Below are 19,654 nucleotides of genomic sequence, written 5' to 3'. Positions count from 1 at the left end.
TAGTGTATAACCTCCTCACCATCTTCTCTCAGCTCCTTGAATGCAACGTGCCCCTTTCTGCCTTTCAGACATGGCACACTCTCAACTCTATCTCTGGCAAGGGACATTGGTAGTCACATTTCATCACTTCAGGTGAGCCATTCAGGCTCTGCCCAGCACAGAAACATGCATGGGTGGGCACGGTGGCTCACGCCTGTAATCCCAGCACTTTGGGAGGCCGAGGTGGGTGGATCACTTGAGGCCAGGAGTTCGAGACCAGCCTGGCCAACATGGTGAAACCCTGTCTCTACTAAAAATACAAAAATTAGCCAGTCTCAAAATCCGGTCTCAAAATAAATAAATAGATTAAAAATAAAATTTAAAAAAATTTTTAAAAAAAGGTTGAGCACCATCACTCCACCACCTAAGATAGCCTGGATGCATCTCTTCTTTGCTCCCTGAAGAAGCTTTAACTAATTTAGAAGCTGACCATTAGGCTTCTCTGTACATCCCAGTATTGGTCTACTTTTGTTACAGACCACTGTCATTGGCAAAACATTGCAAAAATAAAATTTTGGATTTCTTATATAAGTGCAAAGATCCTTTAGGCCAGAGGGTACCAAAAAGATGATCTAAATCAGAGATTTTCAAACTATTTTTAGACACAGTATTCTTTGCTTGAATGAAATTTTAAATCCTAACAGGTAAAAGACAAGTGAAGCTGATCTAAATTGGGAAGGAATAGAGGGGTCATGGCTAGTGCTGTTTCAACTCCATCCCAACCCTCATTTCAGTCGCTTTATGCCCCTGTTCTTTAACAAATCCTGTGAAACGTTCCTGACTTCTGTTGTTAAAAAGGATTCTTTCAAGCTGGGTGTGGTGTTGTGCACCCATTGTCCAAGCTACTTAGGAAGCTGAAGCGGGAGGATTGCGTGAGCCCAGAGTTTGAAGCCGCAGTGTCGTATGACTGCACCTGTGAACAGCCACTGAACTTTAGCCTGGGCAACATAGCAAGACCCTGTCTCTTAAAAAAAAAGGATTCTTTCTAATGTGTCCTAGTTTCTGGGCCTCTGCTGCAGGGAACAGCGTCTTTCCTAGTCTTTGTTGGTTTTTTGGGAGTCAATAAATCCCCCTTTTTTTCTGAGTTTGGAATCAACTGAGATAAGCACAATTATTAGATAGATAAAAATGTTAGTGCTATTTCTGAGAAAGGCTGGATTGGAAGATAATAACTTAGGGGTGTAGCCATGTGGACTTTCTAAGACTGAACCCCAGAATTTGAAAGACTTTCCTGGCCACTGGCACAGCTAGGCAAGGACAGTGTGTACTGCAGCAGGCTCACCCTGGGGAAAAGCAGAGAAGGCAGCTTCCAGAGGCCCAGATGGCTTTATACAGTCTGAGCTTGGTTCTTTCATCTACTCACCCATTGCCTCCCCTTGGGACAAAAAAAAAAAAGAACTTCTTATTTACTTTATCTTTTTAGGAAATTGCCTCTCTTTGGAAACCCAAGGAGTAAGGAATATGTATTTCTCCCTAAGAATGTTCACTTCCATTCCCATTTATGAGACAGAGAAGGTTCCACTTGGAGACCCAGGACCCAAGTCAGGCATATTAGGTATTAGTCAGATAGTCAAGTTAGGCAATAACTATAACAAAAAATCCCCTCTCCATTGCATATTACAACAGAGATATATTTCTTGTTTAAATCAGAGTCCAAAGCTGGTCATGGTGGCTCACACCTGTAATCCCAGCACTTTGAGAGGCCAAGGCAGGCAGATCACTTGAGGCCAGGAGTTTGAGCTCAGACTGGCCAACATGATGAAACCCCCTCTCTACTAAAAATACAAAAATTAGTGGGGCGTGGCAGCTCGTGGCTGTAATCCCAGCTATGCAAGAGGCTGAGGAGGGAGGATCGCTCAAACCCGGGAGGCAGAGGTTGCAGTGAGCTGAGATCGTGCCACCGCACTCCAGCCTGAGTGACAGAGCGAGACTCTGTTTCACAATCAATCAATCAATCACAATCAATCAATCAATCAATCAATCACAGTCCAATGTGGATAGGCAGGTGGGGTGGTGCGATCAGGAGGGGGCTCTCTCTGCTCCATGCAGTTATTCAGGGACTCAGGCTCCTTTCATTTTTCTTTCTTTTTTTTTTTTTTTGAGACAGGGTCTTGCTCTTTTGCCCAGGCTGGAATGCAGTGGCATGATCATGGCTCATTGTAGCCTTGACCTCCCGGGCTCAATTAATCCTCCTGCATCAGCCTCCCAAATAGCTGGGACTACAGGCACATGCCACCACGCCGGTTAATTATTTGAATTTTAGTAGAGATGGGGTTTCACAATATTGGCCAGGCTGGTCTTGAACTCACGGGCTCAAGTGATGCACCTGCCTCATCCTCCCAAAATGCTGGGATTACAGGTGTGAACCACCATGCCCAGCTCTCCTTTCATTTATTGCAGAGAATTATTTTTAAATTCTTGTGTGCTGTAATAAGAACTATCAATTGCTCCATCATCTCCCAGGACCTCAGAGTCTCCACTGACTTTTTTGCAGGTAGTGAACAGAATGAGAAAGATTAAGTGGAGGATTGTGCAGGAGATTGAAGGGGCCAGGCTGAAAGCAGCATACATCATTTCTGCCCACATGCTATTTAACAGCACTCATCACATGGTCCCACTAACCACAGGGAAGCCCAGAAACCTAAGTCTTTCTGCATGCATAGGAGGAAAATTGAGTTTGGCAAACACAAAGTATTGTTCCAGCACAGTATCACATTCACATAAATACAGCCCAGCCAACAAAACCAATTATACAACAATTCACATCTTTACTTGGAGAAGTATAACGAACAGATCAGCAGCTTGATGAATTTTTACAGAGAGCACACATGTACGACTAGCACCCTGATCAGAATAGGTGACATTGGCCAGGTGTGGTGGCTCATGCCTGTAATCCCAGCACTTTGGGAGGCCGAGGCGGGTGGATCACTTGAGGTCAGGAGTTCAAGACCAGCCTGGCCAACATGGTGAAGCCCCGTCTCTACTAAAAATACAAAAATTAGCCAGGTGTGGTGGTGAGCACCTGTAATCCCAGCTACTCAGGAGGCTGAGGCAGGAGAATCACTTGAACCTGGGAGGCAGGGGTTGCATTGACCCAAGATCGTGTCATTGCATTCCAGCCCGGGTGACAGAGCGAGACTCCATCTCAGGAAAAAGAATAGGTGACATTATCAGCCCCGAAGAAGCCTCTTGAACCCCCTTCCAATCATCAACCCCCCAAGTGAGCACCTATCCTGACTTGTACCCATATAGATTAGTTTTTAAATATTCTACAAAAGGACTCATACCATATATATTCTTTTGTGTTTGGCTTCTTTTGTTAATATTGAACATCATGTTTGTGGGAACCATCCACATTGTTGTATGTAATTGCAGTGTTTTCATTCTTGTTGCTGTATCATCTTTTATGGTTTGAATATGACATTATTTATCCATTCTACCATTGATGCGCATTTGGGTAGTTTGTTGTGTTTTTTTGTTTTGTTTGTTTGTTTTTTGATACGGAGTCTTGCTCTGTAGCCCAGGCTGGAGTGCAATGGCGTGATCTCAGCTCACTGCAGCCTCCGCCTCCCGAGTTCAAGCAATTCTCCTGCCTCAGCCTCCTGAGTAGCTGGGATTAAAGGTGTGCGTCACCACACCCGGCTCATTTTTTTTTCATATTTTTAGTAGAGACGGGGTTTCACCATGTTGGCCAGGCTGGTCTCAAACTCCTGACCTCAGGTGATCCATCCTCCTCGACCTCCCAAATTGCTGGGATTACAGGCGTGAGCCACTGCGCCTGGCTGGGTAGTTTTAAGATATAACGAATAGTGCCGCTATGAACATTCTAGAATACATCTTTAGTGAGAATATGGATGCATATCTGACGGGGATATACTAATTGTACCTAATTCCTAGAAGTGGGGATTGCGGGGTCACAGAGTATCAACATGTTCAGCCGTAGTAGAAGCTATCAGCTTTCCAAAGTGGTGATATGAACTGAGGATGCAAGTATCACGTGGCAAAAACTGCAATGACTTTTGCACCAATGTAATATTTTGTGGTCTGGTTTTCCTAAAATTCTCATTCTGCTTTGTTTCATTTTACCCTCACACCTGAGGCTGTGCTAGAGCCCCTGACTCCTCACCTCCAAGAAAACTCTTCCCCACACCCAAATTTTTGAATTTGAGCTTTTCTCTCCCTTTACCTGCTACTTCCTCACCTCTAGTTTGGTCACTGTCAGCCCCATTGTGTGGATTCTTCATCCCTCAAACTTGAAATAGGCCTGGCCAGAAGGGAGCTCTCCTCAGAAGGAAGTGGGGCCTGTGGGGGACACAGAATACGCAAGGATCGAATTTCCTGTAGAGACAGTGTGTGTGGGAGAAGCTGGGAACATTCACTCATTAATAATTTTTGTATCTGTCACACAGAGAAAGGGAATTAAGGAAAAACCCTTAAAAATCATTAAGATGAACTATCTGGAGGAGTGCAGGATCTTATTAATATTCAAGTCCTCGTGGGGAGAGGCAGGCAGCTGGAGGGGGTGGAAGCTCCCTCACTCCCCACCCCGGCCCTTTGTGGGAGGGGCCGGGAGTGGGGCCACTGCAGAGGGGACCCGGGGTGCTCCCATGCTGGGGACCTGGCACGCTCTTGCCAAAAGGTTAATGGTCACTGCTCTAACTCCACCCGTGGCCGATCCTGATTAATGGTGCACCCTGGGAGGGTGCTGAGGCGAGAGACAAGTTGAGTTCCCAACTCTCATGAGAAATACATAATCATTAATCAACATTACTGGGCCCCACTCAGACTAAGTGGCCTCTTGTGATTAGGAATGGGCCCTTGAAAAATAAAAACGCAGTCTTTTAGCATTTCGAGTATTTGACAATGGCTTTCTTGATAGCAGGTGGTGGGGAGTTGGGAGGGAAGCTTGCTGTGCTGGGTGCACATGTGTGTATGTATATGTGTGCGTGCATGCGTGTGTGTGCATGCGTGTGTTTTTGTACGCCTGTATGCCTGTGTGTGCATGCGTGTGTGTGCCTGTGTGCGCCTGTGCGCCTGTGTGTGCATGTGTGTGTGTGCATGCATGTTTGCCTGTGTTTGTGCGCCTGTGTGCCTGTGTGTGTGTATGTGTGTTTTTATGTGCCTGTGTGTGCGTGCATGTGTATTTGTGTGCATACGTGTGTGTGTGTGTATGCCTGTGCATCTCTGTGTGTGCATGTGTGCGTATGTGCCTGTGTGCCTATATGTGTGTATGCATGTGTGTGTGTGTGTCTGTGTGTATGAACAAAGACAATGTTATGAGTTGAGGGCTGGCCTTAAGGCAGGTCGACCAAGCCTCCTCATCCACTTCGCGGGGTGATTCTGATGGGGCTGCCTTTTTCTGGCCAGGAACTCAAACTCCAGGAAGGGTGAGGGCAGCTAGGGGCTGGATTCCCTCTGGGTCTTCTGTGTTACACATTCATAACACACCCGGAAAGCCAGAATTAGAAGGAAACAATCCAGCCCTCACTTCCAAATGGGAAGCACAGCTCCCACCTACAAGGCTACTGTGAGAATTAAATCAGGTCATACGTGTAAATCACTGGACTCTCCTCAGAAATGTTAGTTCTCCTTCCCTTCACAACCAGGAACTCATTCAGTCCTCACAGTCACCCTGTGAGGGTTGAGCTCAGGGGCAGCCAGGGGCTCCCCTAGCCAGGTAGTTCCAGAAACTAAACCCTGACCTTCTCTCTTCAGAGTGGCCTGGGAAGTCCGATAGACCTGGGTGACGTGGACACTGCTCTTTGCCAGCTCTGTAACTTCCAGCAGGCTATTAAACCTCGGTCAGCCTCAGCTTCCTCAACTCTAGCAGGAGGGGAACCACCTCGTAAGATTCCCGTGAGAACTCAGCGAGCTAGTGCTGGGAAGCATTTGGCACAGACCATTCCCAGCACATTAGTTTCTTTGCCTCCTTCCCCTTTCCTCAGACCAGTCATCAGCTGGATTCCCACAGCAGCCTATGAGGTTGGTGTGGTTGTTGCAGATGAGGGAACTGAGGCTTAAGGAGGCAGTGCCTCTGCTTACTCTGCCTCGTCCCAGGGCAGCGAAGGACCAGTGGCCTCACTCACCACCAGCCTGACCTGCATGTGGCGTTAATTGTAGGGGATGCTGTGGGCCCAGGGAAGCAGCCTCCAAGGCCACTGTGAGAAATGATTCTTTCTCTCCCCTCCCCTCCCCTCCCCTCCTCTCCCCTTCTTTCTTTTTTGATGGAGTCTGGCTTTGTAGCCCAGGCTGGAGTGCAGTGGCACTATCTCGGCTCACTGCAACCTCCACCTCCTGGGTTCAAGCTACTCTCCTGCCTCAGCCTCCCGAGCAGCTGGGATTACAGACACGCACCGCTACGACTGGCTTATTTTTGTATTTTTAGTAGAGATGGAGATTCACCATGTTGGCCAGACTGGTCTCAAACTCCTGACCTCAAGTGATCCACCTGCCTTGGCCTCCCAAAGTGCTGGGATTACAGGTGTGAGCCACTGCACCCGGCCCCTCCCTCCTTCCCTTCCCTTCCCTTCCCTTCCCTTCCCTTCCCTTCCCTTCCCTCCCCTCCCCTCCCCTTCCCTTTTCTTTCTGCTAGGGTCCCACTCTCTTCCCCAGGCTGCAGTGCAGTGGCATGATCATGGTTTACTGCAGACTTGATCTCCTGGACCCAGATGATTCGCCCACCTCAGCCTCCTGGACTACAAGTGTGTGCCACCACCCCTGGGTAATTTTTTGTATTTTTTATACAGATGGGGTTTCCCCATGTTGGCCAGGCTAGTCTCAAACTCTTAGGCTCAAGTGATTGGTCTCCCAAAGTGCTGGGATTGCAGGCATGAGCCACTGCACTCAGCCTCTACTTGCTTTAAAGCCAGTTTGAGGAAACATTTGTCCCCAAATCACCTTTTTTTCCCTAAAATTTCCTAAGTTTCTTTGTAGAATTAGAAAAAACTACTTTAAATTTTGTGTGGAACCAAAAAAGAGCCCATATAGCCAAGACAATCCTAAGCAAAAAGAATAAAGCTGGAGGCATCATGTTACCTGACTTTAAACTATACTACAAGGCTACAGTACCAAAACAGCATGGTGCTGCTACAAAAACAGATATATAGACTGATGGAACAGAACAGAGGCCTCAGAAATAATACCATACATCTACAACCATCTGATCTTCGATAAACCTGAGAAAAACAAGCAATGGGTAAAGGATCCCCTATTTAATAAATGGTGCTGGGAAAACTGGCTAGCCACATGCAGAAAACTGATACTGGACCCCTTCCTTACATCTTATACAAAAATTAACTCAAGATGGATTAAAGACTTAAATGTAAAACCCAAAACCATAAAAACCCTAGAAGAAAACCTAGGTAATACCATTCAGGGCATAGGCATGGGCAAAGACTTTATGACTAAAACACCAAAAACAATTGCAACCAAAGCCAAAATAGACAAGTGGGATCTAATTAAACTAAAGAGCTTCTGCACAGCAAAAGAAACTAGCATCAGAGTGAACAGGCAACCTACAGAACGGGAGAAAATTTTTGCAATTGACCCACTGACAAAGGTCTAATATCCAAAATCTACGAGGAATTTAAACAAATTTATAAAAAACAAATGAACAAATAAGCCCATCAAAACATAGGCAAATGATATGAACAGACACTTCTCAAAAGAAGACATTTATGCGGCCAAAAAACATATGGAAAAAAGCTCATCATCACTGATCATTAGAGAAATGCAAATCAATGAGATACCATCTCATGCTAGTCAGATGGCAATTATTAAAAAGCCAGGAAACAATAGATGCTGGTGAGGCTGTGGAGAAATAGGAATGTTTTTACACTGTTGGTGGGAGTGTAAATTAGTTCAACCATTGTGGAAGACAGTGTGGTGATTCCTAAAGGATCAAGAACCAGAAATACCATTTGATCCAGCAATCCCATTACTGGTTATATACCCAAGGGATTATAAATCATTCTACTATAAAGACACATGCACACGTATGTTTATTGCAGCACTAATTACAATAGCAAACACTTGCAACCAACCCTAATGCCCATCAGTAATAGACTGGATAAAGAAAATGTGGCACATATACACCATGGAATACTATGCAGCCATAAAAAAAGAATGAGATCATGTCCTTTGCAAGGACATGGATGCAGCTGGAAGCCATAATTCTCAGCAAACTAACACAGGAACAGAAAACCAAACACTGCATGTTCTCACTCACAAGTGGGAGTTGAACAATGAGAACACATGGACACAGGGAGGGGAACATCCCACACCGGGGCCTTTCAGGGTGTGGGAGGCAAGGGGAGGGATAGCATTAGGACACATACCTAATGTATGTGGAGCTTAAAAACCTATATGATGGGTTGATAGGTGCAGTAAACCACCATGGCACATGTATACCTATGTAACAAACCTGCACCTTCTGCACATGTATCCCAGAACTTAAAGTAAAAAAAAAAAATCTGAATTAGCCCCAGTTTTGCCTCCCCTCACGTGGCTGCCCAGCAATCTAATGTACAAAAAGGACATGTATAAGAATGCAAATAGCAGCATTATTTGTAATAAGGCTAAATAGAAATAACCCAATGTCCGACAACAATCGGATGGGTAAATTGCAGCTTACTCATACAGTGGAATACTATACAGTTATGAATATGAACAAAGTACTGCCACTGATAGCAACACTGGCAAGTAGCAGAAACATAATGTTGAGTGAAATAAGCCATCTGTAAAAGAGTATACCATATACTGCATGATTCCATTTATATGAAATTCAAGAATAGGCAAAATAAGTCTAAGGCATTAGAAGTTACATTAGTGATTACATTTAGAGAGTTACTGAAAGAGGCCAGTGTGGGTGCATATCTGGGGTACTGGTAATGTTCTGCTTATTGACATGTGTGATGATTGTATGAAAATGTATTGAGCTGTATACTCATGATGTGCCTACTTTTCTGTAAAGACATTATACTTTAGTTTTAATGTTTGTTTAAAAAGATTTTTGGGTAACTCAGAATCACTGGGAAGGCTGGAGAATCAGACTCATAACTCTGCTGCAGAATTGATCTGATGAAGAAACTGCCACCACTGAGTATTAAATGGAATAGTTGTACCCTCATGACCACTTTTGCACCAGGGACTCAATGGGACTGAGATGTGAATGCTGCCCCAGTCCCACCACCCCTTCTCCAGCAAGAACACAGCTTTGCAGCCACAGCCACCTCCCAGAACACGGATGTTGCATGGTGCTTCTTTCCTCACGTGCTCATTTTCATTCCAGCAGCTCCTGCTTGTGTGCTTGATTTGTGGAGCTGATGCCTACTCCTAGCTGCAAGGGAGGCTGGCAAAGTGAAATCATAGCCTCCATTTGGGATAGAAGGCAAGAAGGCCTCAAGTGTATGAAGACTGTAAAAAGGTGCAGCACAGCTAGAAAACATGACGAAGGTCCATGGTGCGTATGTTTATTAACAAGGGCCTATTGGGGATATCACCTTAAGCTCTAGTGGCCCTAATGCTGTGTCAGTTGTTGTCTGTTGGTGTTCAGCTCCATACCTGCCCTTTAATCCTTTTTTTCTGTACCATTGCCACTGAGAAACTGTGTCTTCTAGACTCCCTTCTCAGTTGGGTTCCAGTTACTTTTTGCAAATGAAAGGCACTGAGTTGGTGTGGTGGCTCACATCTGTAATCCCAGCACTTTGGGAAGCCAAGGCAGGTGGATCACTTGAGCTCAGGAGTTCAAGACTAGTCTGGGCAACATAGCAAAACCCCATCTCTACAAAAAATACAAAAATTAGCTGGGAGTGGTGGTGTGCGCCTGTAGTCCCAGCTACTTGTGGGGCTGAGGCGGGAGGATTGCTTGAATCCTGGAGGAGGAAGTTGCAGTGAGCCGAGATCGTGCCACTGTACATGCCTGGGCAACAGAGCCAGACCTTACCTAAAATAAAATAAGATAAAGACACCTGTATGCAATGATATCAGAAATGGGGAAGAATGTAGAAGTCACAGTCACTCCCCTGGCAGCAGCATCAGTGGCGCTTATGGTCTCTGGCCAATGCCACTTTTCTCCACTTGCTGCTTCAGCCCTCCTGATACTTGTAAGGAATTCTCTGTCATCATCCCCATCCTGTTTTCCTAATGGACATGGACTGATACCCACGGGCATCCCGAGAGCCATGGGGTGCAGGTTTAGATATATGTGTGTGTGGAGGGCTGTGGGAGAATTGAGCATCTCACACCACACTAAGGAGGCAGATCAGACAGCCCCTCAGGGTCCCTTGTGGAGTGGTTAACCTGTCACTGGAGGGCTCTGAGCAGCAACTGTGTGTTCCAATCTCTGGCTAGCGGGCTCCACTCAGTGATCCCAGAAGTCTGAGCCCTGTGATGGGAGAGCAAAGGAGCCAGGAAGAATAGTGCTGAGCTTGGAGGCAGGCAGCCCCAGGGGCCAGCAGTCTCTGCCATCTCCCAATGTGCATGCTTGGGCAGCATACCTGGCCTCTCTGGGCCACAGGTTCCCCATCTGTAAAATGCACAGACTGATACCTACCTCGGGGGTGGTGGGAAAGCGGAATAGACAGGTTTGTGAAAGCCCTTTGTGAATATAAGGGCATGGTTTTCCGTGTATAGGGAGTACTCTTGGCCCCCCAAAGAAAGACTGAGGTGCAGCCTTGGTTCCTCTCTGTCCTGATCAGTTGATCCCTCAGTGGCCCCCGTAAGAGGGAGAACATTCATTTGCTCCTTTAGCCTGGCACATTCACACGGGCCTGTCATTGCTCTAGGTGCTGGGGATGTAAGGATGAAAAAGACTTGGCTTCTGCCCGGAGGGAGCCCTAGTGGGGGACAGGGCACGTATTGAGGCAATTAACATTCAGTGTGAGGGGCATTGAAGAGGAGACAGAGGATGCGACGGGAGCGTGAAGGAGAGGCAGCTCATTTGGACCTGCAGGTGGAATCATGGGCACTTCTGTAAGCAGAGATTTCTAAGCTGAGACCTAGAAGAGGAGCAGGCATCAGCCATCTGAAGGAGCAGGGCTGGGGGAGTGTCTGAGGTGGAGAGGACAGCCACGCAGAGGTCTGGAGGAAGAGAAATGGGGTGTTTGGGGAACTGGAGGCAAGTGTAGATGAAGGCTGAGAAGTGGGTAGAGATGGAGCTGGAGGGTAGGTGGAGGCCACTCATGTTATACTGAGGGGTTTGGATTTGTCCTGAGCAGTGAGGAGCACATGCTCTGCTCCAGGAGAGATGCAGCTGGCCCTGAGCCCAGCTCCAGGCTGATTTACAGGCACCAGGTGTCAAAAGTGGCTGCGTCACCTGCTCTGAAATCCTAGGCACGTAAGGCTCGGTGCCTTTGTCCAATGTTAACCTGAGCCCAGAGGAGAGGCTGTTTCTGGGACTCTGTGGACTCTGCCCCTGGCCCTGTGTTCCTCACAGAGTGCGTGCAGGAATGGGAGCTGCTTCTGCCCGCAGTCTCTCCACCTTCTCTTGCTCTCTGGTCCCTGCTCCTTGTCGGCATCTGATGCCCCCTTTCTTCTTGGCTTGTCAAGCCTGCAGGGAGGCCCACCGTCATTTCCCACCTGCCCTCCATACAGGAGACCAGAGCAGGCTTCACAGTGATGTTTCTGTGGTATTTAGTGAAGCTTATTTTCCCATTGGAGAACAAAACCCTCATCCACTGTGCAGGGAGAGGCAGGTGGAAGTTAAGTAGAAGAGAAAGCCAGAAGACAGGAAAAGCTAAGTTTGCATCAGATGGCTTTCTGCCAACCTCTGTCCCCTCCCACCTAATTTTTCTTGTGGTTTATTCTTGTTTGTCTCAGAACTCAGCTTAGGTGCCATCTCCCCTAGGGAGCTGATCATGAGCTCTGTTTTGCAGTACGTGCTCTCTCCCTCTGTTTTCCCAGTTTTCTCTAAAGTTGTTGATAACTTCCCTGCTTCCCCCATTAGACTAACATCCATCAGTTCAACAGAAGTGAACTGAGCACCTGTCATGTTCTGACATTGTGCTGGGCCCTGGGTAACTGGACTAAGTCCTGGAATGCCTACAACCTCCTGAAGGCACAGACCAGCAGGGTCAATTGAGGGTAGGAGCAAGTATCATTCAATTTTGTTTCCCCAGCAATTACAGTGCTTGACACAAAGAAGGCATTCATTAAGTAAGTATTGAATGAATGTTTTGGCACTGCAGATGTGTTTCTCAGATATCTAAGAAAATAAATACAAGAGTACTTCAGAAAGTAACTCATCAGTGAAGGCTTTTCCACCCACACTGCTCTGATGTACCCTCCCTGAGTCATCCCCATGCTTTCCTTCGTAACAGCGGGCTCAGGTCCCACAGGCACAGCTGCTGCAGACAATGACCGAATCCTGGGAAGGAGAAAGATGAAGTGCTTGCAGTAGGTGGGACCACCTCTAGTCTAGGGAACTGGGAATGCTGAGGCTGGAGGATTTGGGTCTAGAATGGCAAAGCTCAATGGGAAAGACACTATATTTCTACCTTATGGACACTGGCCAGATGACAACCACCTATATTATCCATCATTGTCACCATTCTCATCACCATAATTGCTTGCTGTGACAAAGCACTACCACATCTATTAGTACATTATCTCATTTAATTATCACAATAACCACCAGATTTTTTAGGGTAGTGTCTACTGTATCACCTTCATTTTAGAACTGAACAGAAGGTAGCCCACAGAGGTTAAGAATTTGTTCAAGTTAGACAAAAGCAACAAATGGGGAAGGATTCCCTATTTAATAAATGGTGCTGGGAAAGCTGGCTAGCCATATGTAGAAAGCTGAAACTGGATCCCTTCCTTACACCTTATACAAAAATTAATTCAAGATGGATTAAAGACTTAAGTGTTAGACCTAAAACCATAAAAGCCCTAGAAGAAATCCTAGGCATTACCATTCAGGACATAGGCATGGGCAAGGACTTCATGACTAAAACACCAAAAGCAATGGCAACAAAAGCCGAAATAGACAAATGGGATCTAATTAAACTAAAGAGCTTCTGCACAGCAAAAGAAACTACCATCAGAGAGAACAGGCAACCTATAGAATGGGAGAAAATTTTTGCAATCTACTCATCTGACAAATGGGTAATATTAAGAATCTACAAATTACAAATTTACTTTACAAATTTATAAGAAATTTACAATTTCCAAGAAATTTACAATTTACTTAAACAAATTTACAAGAAAAAATCAAACAACCCCATCAAAAAGTGGGCAAAGGATATGAACAGACGCTTTTCAAAAGAAGACATTTATGCAGCCAACAGACACATGAGAAAATGCTCATCATCACTGGCCATCAGAAAAATGCAAATCAAAACCACAATGAGATACCATCTCACACCAGTTAGAATGGCGATCATTAAAAAGTCAGGAAACAACAGGTGCTGGAGAGGATGTGGAGAAACAGGGATGCTTTTACACTGTTGGTGGGAGTGTAAACTAGTTCAACCATTGTGGAAGACAGTGTGGTAATTCTTCAAAGATCTAGAACTAGAAATACCATTTGACCCAGAGATCCCATTATTGGGTATATACCCAAAGGATTATAAATCATGCTACTATTAAGACACATGCACACGTATGTTTATTGTGGCACTATTCACAATAGCAAAGACTTGGAACCACCCAAATGTCCATCAATGATAGACTGGATTAAGAACATGTGGCACGTATACACCATGGAATATTACGCAGCCATAAAAAAGGATGAGTTCATTTCCTTTGTAGGGACATGGATGAAGCTGGAAACCATCATTCTCAGCAAACTATCACAAGGACAGAAAACCAAACACCGCATGTTCTCACTCATAGGTGGGAATTGAACAATGAGAACACTTGGACACAGGGCGGGGAACATCACACATCGGGGCCTTTCGTGGGGTGGGGGGATGGGGGAGGGATAACATTAGGAGAAATACCTAACATAAATGACGAATTAATGGGTGCAGCAAACCAACATGGCACATGTATACATATGTAACAAACCTGCACATTGTGCACACGTACCCTAGAACTTAAAGCATAATTAAAAAAAAAAGAATTTGTTCAAGTTATTATATACACAGCTACTAAGAGGCAAAATTGGTAGGGAAATTTTGGCCAAGGTAGGACTCAGGGATTTTGATCCTAACACTTTTTTCTCACCACACTATGCAGTTATTATAACCTCTTACTTAGGATGGCATTATTTTAGGAGGTAGGTAGGGTAGATATTATTCTAAGTTGCCCAGGCTGGAGTGCAGTGGCATGATCTCGGCTCACTGTAACCTCTGCCTCCTGGGTTCAAGCGCTTCTTGTGCCTCAGCTGGGATTACAGGCATGTGCCACCATGCCCAGCTAATTTTTGTATTTTTAGTAGAAACAGGGTTTCAACCATGTTGGTTAGGCTGGTCTCAAACTCATGACCTTGGGTGATCCACCCACTTTGGCCTCCTAAAGTACTGGGATTACAGGCTTGAGCCATCACACCCGGCCAGATAAATATCTTTAAAATCATTTATCCATCTATGCATTCACCAACAACTCACCTATCTACCCGTCCATTTACTTATCCATCCAAACATCCATCTATCTACCCATTCATTTATCCATCCATCCATGCACCCAACGTCCAACTATCCATCCACTCAAATATTTTCCACACATTGACTCACCTAAACATCTGTGTATCCACTCATCTACCTACTCATCTGATCATTCACGCATCCATCCATGTTTTTATAATCTATTCATTCAACAATTCATCCACTCACCAGGTAATCAATAAACATGTATTGAGCACCTACTATGTGCCAAGCAGTGCACTAGGGTACTGGGGCTACAAGATAACCAGGATGTGACTTCTGCCCTTGGGGACTCTGATGGAGGAGACAGGATGATAAATGTGATAACATAGGTCTATATAAAGCGCTAAGGGGAATGAGAGGAAGGAGTGATAATCTCCGTGCCCTGCAGGATGAAGACACACAGGCTCATCTCTATAGGTAATCGTTGTAAAAATAATTGGATGTGATGCAAACTCATGCCAGTGATGCTTCCGTCATCAGTAGAAAGATGTAAGTGCTTATTGGGGTTGACTTTTTGTGTGTATATGTACATGTGTTGAGAGGGAGAGAATAAAGAAATAGGCAGAGGAATGTTTCAAGGACGGGAATCCTATTTATCTTGGTATCCCCAGCATATAGCACAGAGCTGAATATATGGTAGGTGCTCAATAAATGTCAAGAAACCTGGCTGCAATTTGCAGTGACAGAGAAATGAAATGAGCAGACCAGCAATGACACCAACAAGCAACCACCACCACCTTTAAGGATGCTCAGCTTCATTTCTCCTTACCAAGTTTCACTTTGAACTTGGGCTGTTAATTTTAACTTGAAATTGGAGCGGATTTCTCCTTCGTTATTCCTTGAGATCTGTAGACCGCACCTCTTACTTGCTTGAGCCAACAAAAGACAAGTCTACTCTGGTTTCCTATAGCTTATGTCAGGCAAAGTTTACAAGGGACAATTAACCCTTTTTGGCTTAGCAGCTTTAGGAACAAGTGCACTGATGGCTCTAGCAAAAACCAACTCACTCTGATCTATGCTTGCAATACTAAGGGTTATAGGGAAAAAAGCTGATTGTGGAATCAAAATATTTCAGTTCTTGTCCTGGATTTGTAACTAAGTAGAAGATGACCTTAGGTAAATTAGTTACTCATGCTGAATTGCTCTTCTTTCATCTCTAAAACAAGAGTGGCTGAGTTAGATGAATTTAAATGAATTTTAACGCCTTTTGGTGTCCCTGAATTGATGGCTTGTTTACCTGTGTTTCTGGCTGGAATCCACTTGAGACCATTTAAGTTTTTGCCTTTCTCATGCTATAGCTTCTCTGGGAACCCTGTTCTGCCACAGCCTTGGAGGATGACTGGTTTCTGCTGTGTGTGCTGCTGAAGGCAGTCAGTGTCCCTGATGCCATGCCAGTTAAACAGGAACCTGAATCTGGATGGGTCTGCATCACCCTGCATTCCTTGTCAGCTGGTTTCTGGATGAACTTGGCCTTGGGAGGCCCTAGAAAGGGATTGGAGGGCAGGAGGAGAGAGAGCACTGGGCATTTCTTCATTTTCTTTTTGCTTTGATGCTGTTTCACCAGCAGCAACTACAACTACAATTCCAGCTAAGTGGTCCTCCTTCTATGGCTCTCGCTCTTTCTGGGTTCTGATAACATCTTCCCTCTGCTCGTTCCTTCAGCCCTAGAGGTGACAATGGCTTCCTACTGTCACTAGTCTCTGGGTGCCTCTGCACCCCTTGCCTGTTCTCTTAACTCTGCCACACCATCTAAGATGTCCCTGTAATGGAGTCTCTTCAGTCGAGTCACCTGTGGTGAATAACATTTGCTCTTGGGACTCTTAACTGAAGAGCACTATATCAGTGCGTTTTATATACATACATAATATGTATATATAATATATATTATATAACATATATATGTTATATAACATGTTATAAAACATATATTATATATAACATATATGTTATATAACATAATGTTATAAAACACATATATAACATATATGTCATATAACATATATATGTATATATAACATGTATAACATATATCATATATGTTACATATGCTATGTATAACATATAATATATCATATATGTTACATATGCTATATATAACATATATATCATATATGTTCCATATGCTATATATAACATATATATCATATATGTTCCATACGCTATATAAAACATATATATCATATATGTTCCATACGCTATATAAAACATATATCATATATATGTTACATGTTATATATGTAACATATGTTACATAACATGATATATAACATAGATATGTTACATAACATATATGATATATAACATCTGTTTATATAACCTATCTATGTTATATAACACATATATAACATATCTATGTTATATAACATATCTATGTTATATAACATATCTGTTATATAACATATCTATGTTATATATAACATATAACATCTCTATGTTATATAACATATCTATGTTATATATAACATAACATATCTATGTTATATAACATCTCTATGTTATATATAACATATAACATCTCTATGTTATATATAACATCTCTATGTTATATATAACATATAACATCTCTATGTTATATAACATATCTATGTTATATATAACATATATATTATATAACATATTTTTATATATTATATATAATATACATATATAATATATATATAAATATAAAATATATATATATTTTTAGATGCAGTCTCACTCTTCATCCAGGCTGTAGTGCAGTGGCACCATCTTGGCTTACTACAACCTCCACCTCCTGGGTTCAAGCAATTCTGTCTCAGCCTCCCGAGTAGCTGGGATTACAGGCGCCCATGCCTGGCTAATTTTTGTATTTTTAGTAGAGATGGGGTTTCACCATGTTGGCCAGGCTGGTCTCGAACTCCTGACCTCAGGTGATCCACTCACCTTGGCTTCCCAAAGTGTTGGGATTACAGGCGTAAGCCACTGCGCCCAGCCACGGGACTTGTTATCCAATTCAAAACTCTATGATGTAGGCATTATCTTCCCATTTTACACTCGAGAAAACCAAGGCTGAAAGAGGTGAAGTCACTTGCTCCAAATTACAGGATTTGAATCACCTGCCTGCAAAGTTTGTGTTTGTATTACCCCATCGCGCTGTCTAACCCTGTGCAGCATCTCCGGGCCATCTCCTTCCCTATCCCTAGGCGGAGTGGCTTCTAAATCCTTCCATTCTTCATGTTTTTTTTTCTTTCTGGCTTCTTGGAGACAGGATATTGGACCACGTGGGCTCTAACATTCATGTCTAGAAAATGTCAATGTGCCTACCTGGAGTCTTACATCATTTTTATTGGCAATAGTTGGTGTGAGTCATTAGTTGAAACCTGGCTTTCACGCTTGGTACACAGTCAGCTCAGTCAGGCAGGGAGGCAGTCTCCTAACAAGCTTCATTCTGGCTGCAGGAATAAGACACGGATAAGGAAAAACAAGAGGCTGTCCAACACTGCTGCCTATGACTCAAGCAGGACTTGAATCCTTCTGATTTGGCTTTGATCTTGGAAGTCAAATTTATCTCTCCAATTTATCCTAAGGAAACAATCAGATAAATGGGAAAAGAAGAATAAATAAAGATTACAGTAGCAAGAAAATTGAAAAAGACTTGTGTGTCTGCCTGTAAGGGATTGGTTAAACAAATCATGGCCTGTTTATACAATGGAAAGGTCTCATTAAATGAAAGGAGCAGGTTATAAAACAGTGAGCATGGCAGGATGCCGTTTTTATAAAAAATAATCTTCATACCTATTGATATGAAGATGTTATCCATCTTCATATCCAACCAGGCAATCCCACCGTCTCCAGACTTTAGGCTCGTTAAATCTTATTTGCAAACACTTTGGAAGGCCCATTTCCAACCAATATATGTAGAAGGAAAGATTAAGCTAGAAAATCACTGTTCTGCAGCCATCGAAGTACTAATGATTCAGGCAAGCATCATCAGTGGGTGCCAAAACCATTGGGTGAAATGTTGGGGAACAGGATGTTTACATAGTCTCAAAGCTGCCACAGATGACTGATCATTTACAGAGGAGAAAAAGAGGTGTCTTTACATTGGAGAAATACGACAGAAACCACTTCCACCAAACAGCCAAGATCAACATCATCAATAATAGGACAAACTGACATGTGGTACCTCCTGACGTGTTGTACTGAGAAGGTCACAACAGGCTGGGAGTGGTGGCTCACGCCTGAATCCCAGCACTTTGGGGGGCTGAGGTGGGTGGATCACCTGAGGTCAGGAGTTCGAAACCAGCCTGGCCAACATGGTGAGACCCCATCTCTACTAAAAATACAAAAATTAGTCAACATGGTGGCAGGCACCTGCCATCCCAGCTACTCAGGAGGATGAGGCAGGACAATGGCTTGAACCCAGGAGGAGGAGGTTGCAGTGAGCTGAGATCGTACCACTGCACTCCAGCCTGGGCAACAAGAGTGAAACTGTCTCAAAAAAAAGAGAGAAGGTCACTACATGTAGTACTCCTGCAAAAGTCCTGTAGTATTTGGGAACCAAATCCTGAGGATACAACCATATAATTGCAAATTAAGGGACATTCTACAAAACAGTGAGCCTTATTCTTTAAAAATGTCAGGGCCATGAGAAACAAAGATAGGTCAAGAGACTGTTTCAGACTGGAGGAAAGCAGAGAAACATGACGAGTAAATGCAAAACGTGACTCAGAATTGGATCCTGGAAATAAAAAGTTGGCATAAAGGCAGTACTAGACAATTGGCAAAATTGGAATATAGGCTGTACATAAGATAATTGCAGCAACGATAATTTCCTGAATTTGATAATTGCACTGTGTTTATGTTAGCAAACTGCTTTATTGGAATTTTGTATTATGAAAATTTTCAGGTGTACAGAATGGCAAAGAGAATACTGTAAGAAACACCTGTATACTCATTACCTAGATTTAACCATTACTAATCTTCCATCATTTTTTTCTGAAATATTTTAAATATTTAAAGGTAAATTTTATATTTCTCATGACATTTCATCCCTTCATTATGGA

The 19,654-nt window shown here is 43.8% G+C and overlaps 1 long non-coding RNA gene across 1 annotated transcript in view, besides 1 other annotated feature; it reads right to left on the bottom strand.

Annotated features, from left to right (window-relative positions):
• LOC124902013 (uncharacterized) overlaps nucleotides 1-4,343 on the bottom strand; it is a 28,197-nt gene extending 23,854 nt beyond the window's left edge. The window contains exon 1 of the long non-coding RNA XR_007061083.1: nucleotides 4,241-4,343. This is a non-coding gene — a long non-coding RNA (uncharacterized LOC124902013). The remainder of the gene's footprint in view (nucleotides 1-4,240) is intronic.
• Nucleotides 17,531-18,730: an enhancer, noted in NCBI's record as "P300/CBP strongly-dependent group 1 enhancer chr8:124000413-124001612 (GRCh37/hg19 assembly coordinates)". NCBI's record gives its function as "activates an origin of replication core promoter dependent on BRD2, BRD4, P300/CBP, MED14 and CDK7 cofactors, with strong dependence on P300/CBP, by STARR-seq in HCT116 cells {active_cell/tissue: HCT116}" and the evidence as "EXISTENCE:reporter gene assay evidence [ECO:0000049][PMID:35650434]".

This window comes from Homo sapiens, chromosome 8 (assembly GCF_000001405.40).
Source record: "Homo sapiens chromosome 8, GRCh38.p14 Primary Assembly".
Classification (NCBI taxonomy): domain Eukaryota; kingdom Metazoa; phylum Chordata; class Mammalia; order Primates; family Hominidae; genus Homo; species Homo sapiens.
This window is presented reverse-complemented; position numbering and strand designations above follow the sequence as displayed.